General features: G+C 44.3%; 1 protein-coding gene and 1 non-coding gene across 2 annotated transcripts in view, besides 3 other annotated features; one reads left to right on the top strand and one right to left on the bottom strand.

Moving 5' to 3' along the window:
• Positions 1-554: 554 nt before the first annotated feature.
• On the bottom strand, positions 555-6,534 carry HAS2-AS1 (HAS2 antisense RNA 1). Its single transcript, NR_002835.2, has 4 exons — positions 5,712-6,534; positions 4,434-4,690; positions 3,149-3,296; positions 555-1,614 (listed from the first exon to the last, which is right to left on the bottom strand).
• Positions 3,158-3,781: an enhancer, noted in NCBI's record as "OCT4-NANOG-H3K27ac hESC enhancer chr8:122654339-122654962 (GRCh37/hg19 assembly coordinates)". NCBI's record gives its function as "activates a minimal SCP1, AML or CMV promoter by ChIP-STARR-seq in naive H9 embryonic stem cells {active_cell/tissue: H9 hESC(naive)}" and the evidence as "EXISTENCE:reporter gene assay evidence [ECO:0000049][PMID:30033119]".
• HAS2 (hyaluronan synthase 2) overlaps positions 4,440-7,468 on the top strand; it is a 29,325-nt gene continuing 26,296 nt past the window's right edge. Inside the window, exon 1 of the mRNA NM_005328.3 lies at positions 4,440-5,027. The gene's annotated coding sequence lies outside the window, so the exon portion shown is untranslated. The remainder of the gene's footprint in view (positions 5,028-7,468) is intronic.
• Positions 5,983-6,483: an enhancer, noted in NCBI's record as "H3K4me1 hESC enhancer chr8:122651637-122652137 (GRCh37/hg19 assembly coordinates)". NCBI's record gives its function as "activates a minimal SCP1, AML or CMV promoter by ChIP-STARR-seq in naive H9 embryonic stem cells {active_cell/tissue: H9 hESC(naive)}" and the evidence as "EXISTENCE:reporter gene assay evidence [ECO:0000049][PMID:30033119]".
• Positions 6,484-6,984: an enhancer, noted in NCBI's record as "H3K4me1 hESC enhancer chr8:122651136-122651636 (GRCh37/hg19 assembly coordinates)". NCBI's record gives its function as "activates a minimal SCP1, AML or CMV promoter by ChIP-STARR-seq in naive H9 embryonic stem cells {active_cell/tissue: H9 hESC(naive)}" and the evidence as "EXISTENCE:reporter gene assay evidence [ECO:0000049][PMID:30033119]".

The raw sequence follows: 7,468 nt of genomic DNA, 5'->3' as shown, positions 1-7,468 counted from the left end.
GATTCTTAATATTTGAAGACACTGGATGAGATTGTGGTAATATTAATGATTGTGATCTTTTGGGTTATCAAAAATGAAATGTGTCAACATTTAGAAAATCTGCATAACTCATTGGACCTGGCCAGGCTCGGTGGCTCACGCTTGTAATTCCAGCACTTTTGGAGTCCAAGGCGGGCGGATCATGAGGTCAGGAGATCGAGACCATCTTGGCTAACAAGGTGAAACCCCGTTTCTACTAAAAATACAAAAAAAATTAGCCGGGTGTGGTGGCGGGTGCCTGTAGTCCCAGCTACTCGGGAGGCTGAGGCAGGAGAATGGCGTGAACCCAGGAGGCGGAGCTTGCAGTGAGCCGAGATCACACCACTACACTCCAGCTCTGGGTGATAGAGTGAGACTCCATCTCAAAAAAAAAAAAAATAATAATAATAATAAAATAAAAATTAAAAAAAATAATAACTCATTGGACCTGTATTTTTTAGATAATCAATACACAATATTACAAATTCATAAACGGTTATAAAAGATGCATTTAAAGTATAAAACAGAACAACAGATTTGAATGTGTTATCAGAGTACATAAACAGATTTTAATGTATTATCAGAGTACACAAAATTCACTCATACTGAGGAGACACTGACAGGCCTTGCTGGGCTTCCTCACTCAGTCAGCTAGCATTAGATTATGCCCTTTTTGTCCTATCCTATCTCTACACGGCTGCCCATTCTTTGTTAAACTTAAGCATAAAAACAGACAATTTCTTCTGTATCTTTGGGTCTTCATTCTAAAGGCCGCTGTGTATACACATTAAATAAATGTATATGCCTTTTATCCTATTAATCTACTTCATGTCAGTGATTTTCAGCAAATCTTCAGAGGGCCAAGCCCTGGGCCAATTCACAACATTGCAACTTATCAAGTTTTGATGTAGTATAAAGGAAGAATATCTAAAAAAGCCTGTGTAAATACTCTTCCATTTCCCAATTATATATGTGTATGACACCAGATTTTTTTTCATATACTTCAATCAAAACAACAATTGAATGCAAAAGCAAATAGGAGAATCCAGCTGTCTTCTATCAGCTAGACAGCAAAGAGATTTGCAAAAATGGAAAACTGCCACTTTTCTCACTTTAGGTTTTGAAAAATAGCTATTTTCGCAAAATGTTATTAAGTTGGTATGTAACTGCATTTATTATTACTTCAAATGACTTAAGTATTTTAACTTTTTAAGTCAGCTTTAATGTCTAATGTGGTAAATATTGATACATATAACATATAAACTTTTTTTGAGGTTCTCAATAATTAATAAGAGTATAAAGAGTTTCTTTACCAAAAGTTCTAGAACCACATATACAGAGGATTATGAAGGTACTAAATCCTTGTTCTGGATACTTTGTCTGTCAGACATATAAACATATGTTTTGTGCTGTGGGATGGAGGTCAGCAACAACATATTGCTAAGTCACATCTACTCAAGTAAAAACTACCATGTTTTCTCTGTTGCCTTGTACAGGTGAAAACATAACAGGTATGGGTTCCATAAGGTACATTTTAGGATGTCAAAACCTGAAAGGGATGGGTGAAAGGATGTCATCTTCTGATCCAAACAGCTCCTGTAAGATAGAAAGCTAAGGGTGAATTATCTAATGTTATTCAATTGGTTGTTGCCATAGCTTATTTGTGAAACTGGATCTTAATGTCTCTTAATTTGGTGCTTGTGAATCAGTACTCCATGACGGATAGTTGTAATTTTGGCCTGAGACTCAGAAAAGAAGTTGCATTAAATGTGAATGTCTGGGATATATTCATGGGCACTGACTAAGTCAATCTAAAAGAGTGAAGGGGCCAGGCAAAGTGGCTCACACCTATAATCCAAGCACTTTGGAAGGTAGAAGAAGAATTGCTTGAGCCCAGGAGTTTGAGACCAGTCTGGGCAACATAGTGAGACCCCATCTCTATAAAAAATAAAAATAAAAGAGTGAGGGGACAGTAGAAAGCTGAAGTAGGTCAAATAAGAGAACCTAGAATGAAACCATGGTTAATGCTCACCAAGAATAATTTAAGGAATAGAAGGCAAGGAAAGGAGTGCAGTACTAATGTTTTTCTGAATACCCACAATGTTGCAGGCACTGAGCTAAGCTCTTAATACAGTTTAACACATTATATCATCAAAACCACTTTGTAGCTATTTTCTCCATTTATCAACCAGAAAATGAAGATCCAGAGAGGTAAAATATGCTCCTGGGATCTCACAAACAGCAAACATCAAAGATAGGATTTGAATGTGAAGTCTCTCTCAAACTTGAAAGTTTGCTTTCAAATAACTTTCACCTCTGGCTTCACATTGTATTAGTCTCTTACCTCTTTCTTTGGGGTAGAGATGGGAGGATGACAGAAATGTGTAGCTGTATAATCAGTTTTTACATCCATTTGCAGTCAGAGAACATTTTACTTTTGTCTTATGGGTCATGAATTACAAGAGGCGAGAAACAACAAATGTGTTTTTCTATAATAAAGAAAACCAGTTTTAGTAAATGTGCTTCTTGCTTGAACTATTAGCACAGCACAGTTAAATGCTAGTAGGCAATAATAGGTATTCCCGCATTACGTGTCATATTCATGAAAGTTTAGAGCTGGAAGGTTAAGTGTCCCCCTGGGGCCTCACAGCTAGACACTTGGCACCCCACAATTTCCACTCTACCTCTAAATCAGTTTAATCCACGTTATATGTCAGAGTACAGAAGTTAGGTGATATATTTAAAATTATAGTTTAGCATTTGAAAACTACCAAAAAACTGAATCAGGAAGCTCGAGTCTGATTAAGTGGGATGAAATTGTGATCTGAAATTTAAGCCAGTCTCTCCAAGAGTTGAACCACCTAAGGCGGAGTTCAAACAAAGGCTGAAGCAGGAAGGTTTGCTGGGGGAAATCAGTGGGGTCCCCTGAGCAGCGTGAAGTCATCAGGCCAAGGTAATGCTTCCCAGAGGTGTAACCGCTGTGTGTGTGTGTGGCGTGGCGGGGGGGGGCGGGGGGAAGGGGGCGGAAACGCGCAGTACTTTGCAGGTCAGCCCCTGGGGACTGGGATGGCTGACTACCTGGTATTGCACTAAAATGCTTGACCCCTAATCACATCCCCCAACACTACACCTTGTGCGACGTGATGAAAGCATCATTTCCAGTTTATTCGACTTTTCTGTTTAGACTTATTCATTATAGCCCATATATGTGATAAGGACTAAGAACCCAGTCTTCAAGGTCCTGTCGAGTTCCAAAGAAGTCCACCCCTCAGAAGATCCTTGGAAGGGGAAGAAGGAAAAAAGAAAGAAAGAAAAATCTGTTTTACCCTATAACAATTTCAGCGCAATCTCCCAAGACCAAGTTGGTTAATTTGTAAAGTCACTCTCATTTTTTCCTCAACAGTGCCACCTACTGTCCATTTTCAGTCATCAGCAGGCTTGTTGGCAAGGTCCAAGAGAAAGAAAGGAGGCGGAGTGGTGGGGGGAGGAGTAACCAAAAAACGAACTCTACCCAGCCTTGGGGCATTGTGAAAACGACGAGGAAAGGCCATCTCCAAGCAAGACATATTTGTCCTCGTCAACTTTGCAGAAGGCTTGCAAAAAGCAAAAGCCAGTTAAGCCATTTCCTTCAAGATGGCTAAATATAAGTCCTCCAGAAAACAATTTTTATTATTTTATTTTTAATGCGCGCTGTTTGAGTATGTTTACGTTAGGGGACCAGATTGAGCAAAAATATACATATAATTACTTTTCTATGTTTTCCGCCCACCCACGGCAGAAACCTCTTTATGAGAAAGGCTTTGACACTTGACGTCAGCTCAGAAACTTTTGAGTTGGCGGGAAGAAAGGGTTAACAAGTGGTGGACCAGCGCGATCTTTTTAGAGTCCCAGCCGGCTGTCGAAGGCTCCAGGTACACACACACACGCACACACTTACACACACACACACACACGTGCACACACCCCTCCCAACTGTTCCTCCTTGGGTCGGTTACTTAGCTGAAGGGCACCATTTGGCTTTAAAACAAATTACTTCAGCGCCACAGGGAGTTTATCGCTTGGAGGGAACTTGTAACGCGGGAGTTCAGGGAAATCCAAGAGGCGAGGGCTCCCACCTCCGCCGCCAGAGGAAAGTAAGGAATCAGGTGGTGGCCCCCTATGTGTCTTGCATTTCTCTGCACACGTTAGCAATCAAGTTAATTGAATTCATTGGAGTTTAGAACCGGCCTGTAGCTCAGAGAAGGCTTTGAATGGCCAATTTCTCTCTCTCCCTCTCCCCCTCCCCGCCTCCCGCTCGCCCGCCCGCCCGCGCTCCCAGTTCCCTCCCCTCAGGGTTCCCCAGTCCACACCTCCCTCTCCACTTCCCTCACCCCCCCACTCCCTCCGCCGCCCTATTAAAACACCCACCAGCTCACTTGTTAAGACCCCCTTAAGTTGGAGGAGGCAGAAGGGCAACAACGGCGGGGAAGGAGAAGTCAAGACGTCTGGAAAGAATTACCCAGTCCTGGCTTCGAGCAGCCCATTGAACCAGAGACTTGAAACAGCCCCAGCCAAAGACTTTTCTCCCAATTCTGCGCTTCCTGGGTTCTGCTGAGTCTTCCACAGGCTTTTTTTTTTTTTTTTTTTTTTTTTAAGACGAAAAAGAGATTTTCTGTTATCGGGGGCAGAAAGACTGAAGCCCAAAAAAAAAAAAAAAAAAAAAAGAAAAGAAAAGAAAAAAGAAAAGTTAATTTATTTTTAAAGCATAATTTTTTTAAGAATTAGACTGAAGTGCAACGGAAACATAAAGAGAATATTAGTGAAATTATTTTTTAAAGTGGGGAAGAATCAAACATTTAAGACTCCCCTATCCTTTTTAAATGTTGTTTTTAAATTTCTTATTTTTTTTGGCCGGTCGTCTCAAATTCATCTGATCTCTTATTACCTCAATTTTGGAAACTGCCCGCCACCGACCCTCCGGGACCACACAGACAGGCTGAGGACGACTTTATGACCAAGAGCTGAACAAGGTACGTTACACTGGCGCGTTTTGGTGAAGGATGAAGGTCCTCCAACAGGCCAGGGAGAAGGAAGACATCCTTATAATTGTTTTAAAATTTTTAAGCCAGTTTCGATAGAAAAGTTGGAAGTTTAAAAATTTCCAACAGACTGAAGATCAGGGAATATTTCAGGTCACTGTCAGGCTTAGCAACATAGCCCTCTTTTCCCATTTCTGCGGCTCTCGCCAGAAATCCGCTGCCTTTCTGGGGACACAGGTAGCCTCTCTGCCTGGGAAAGGCTGCACGTCCTCAGATGTACTTTTCCATTTTGCATCTTCCGGAGCAGCAGAGGGGCTCCAGAGTTAGGAAACAAGAATTCCCAATGTAAGGAAAATGCATTCTGCACAGCCGCCCCACCCCTTCCCTTCTTTTTTTCCCACACACACACACACACACACACACTGTGGGGAGAAAAACTGGAATAGCCCAGCGCGTTTTACTTCTAAGTGAAAAAGTCGCTTCTTGCTGGGAATGCAAAGGGTTAAGCAATCTGGGCTTCCAGCTCCGACAAGCTGGGACCCTGGAGAAGGAGGGTCCTTCTCTACCTCCTCGCAGCTACCATCCCCTCTCGGCCACTCCCCCCTTTCCCGGGCCTCCCCTCCTTTGCACTTCCCGCACCCCATTAAAGTGTCAGGCTCGTCAGTCTGGGCTTACTCGGGCCAGGGGTCCCTGACGCAGGCGGTGGCACCCGCAGATAGGAGCGGGAGGAGGGCGCGCATCCCTCCTCTCCTCGCCGGGCCAGCCCGCCGGCCGCCCGGAGGCAGGGCGTGCGTGGGGACCGCGCGCTGCGCTTCGGCAGCTGCGGCGTCCCCAGAGCCAATTCCGACGTGGCACCGCGCACGCCGGCGCTTCTCTCCTCAGCTGCAGCTGGGGACACTGCCCGGTGGGAGATCTGGGGGCGCCGTCTCGAGCGCCCAGCCGATGAACGGGGCGAGGGGCCTGTGGGAGCTGGGGTGGAGGTGGGAGGGAAGCCAGAGGCTGGGTTGGGATGGATAATCAACACCTTGGGGGGAATTCGTCACGGCAGTTCCCGCCCAGCGTGAGCCAGGGCTCCGAAATGGGTCCCTGTGAACAGGAGGGCGGGTCTGAAAGGAGGGTCTGTATGAGGGTGAGAACCGGGAGGCGAAAGAGCCTTTTTCCTCTGACCACGGAAACGCAGCCGCGGGGGAACGGCGCTGAAAGGATAATTAAAGCTGCAAAGAGGCGCTGGGAGCACAGGGGCGGTGCCTGGGGAGGAGGACTTGCAAGACCTGTGTCCTATTACACAGTCTTAGGTGCCAGTTCCCCTAGCGCCTCTCCCTCCGTCCCCCAAACGTCCGCGCTGAATACTTGGACTCAAGGACACCGCGCGCCTCTGGGGCGAACGAGCTGCAGCAGCCCAGCTACGGGAGGGAACGTGTAGAAGCCCCATCAGCCTCTCCCTGCCCACTCCCTCACCCTTGGGACCGTTGCTGCCTGTTGGGTCTCAGGAGCAATTGCCCAGAAACGCGACGCTGCTCCAACCCACGTGTCTGGGCTGGGATTGCCTTTGACGTCACACACGGGGGAGGTGTGACGCAATAGATAGGGAAGCCCCGATTGGCCACCAAGGGCTTCCCCCAACTGGAGGCCTGAGTATATATAGACCATCAGCTCAGTGTTAGAATAAAGAGAAGGAAGTTGGTAGATGGGCTTTGCTGAAGGAGTGAGGCCGCTTGTTAAGAGGGAGACAACTTCACTGCTCATTGTACATTCCAAGGCTTTGGCTCAGATTTCTCACTGCGGTTAAGGCATATGATAAGTACTTCTGGCGGTATTAAACCAGGTTATTATTTTTAAAAAAGGTTATTTTAAAAAGGTCAACACATATTTACATACACGATGCCAGGTTTAAAATTAAAATATGTATTTCCATAGATCCAAGTCCATCAACCTCTTTGTAGATACAATTTTTTTATAGTTCTATGACTTGAATTGAAAAGAACTTTTAAATTCCAAATTTTTATTTCCTTCCAATGTGTGCAAGTTGACTCATTCATTAAATTAGTTTTCACCACATTTTTCTAGAGCTTAATAAGGTTACAGTACAGCTGAGGTACTGTATTTTGAGTACCCATCATACTCCACCAAAAGTTTTCCCAATAGTTTGGCGATTCTTTTACATTTTCAATGACAATTTAACACTTTAAGTTACCTGTTGCGTTTATATATTATGTTTTGTATGTGTTTCCAATTCTGGGACAGATAATTCTGATTTTTAAGTGGACATTTCTAGAACAAAATATTGTAACTAAAGTATCATCCCCCCTATTTGTTTTTTCTTAGATATCACCTGAGTCGGGTAAATAGAAAAATATATTGTGGACGTGCTGACAAATGCATATTACCTGAGTTGCTTGTACTGTACCCGGAGTCGAATCCCTTTATCAAAG

This window comes from Homo sapiens, chromosome 8 (genome assembly GCF_000001405.40).
Source record: "Homo sapiens chromosome 8, GRCh38.p14 Primary Assembly".
NCBI classification, from domain to species: domain Eukaryota; kingdom Metazoa; phylum Chordata; class Mammalia; order Primates; family Hominidae; genus Homo; species Homo sapiens.
This window is presented reverse-complemented; position numbering and strand designations above follow the sequence as displayed.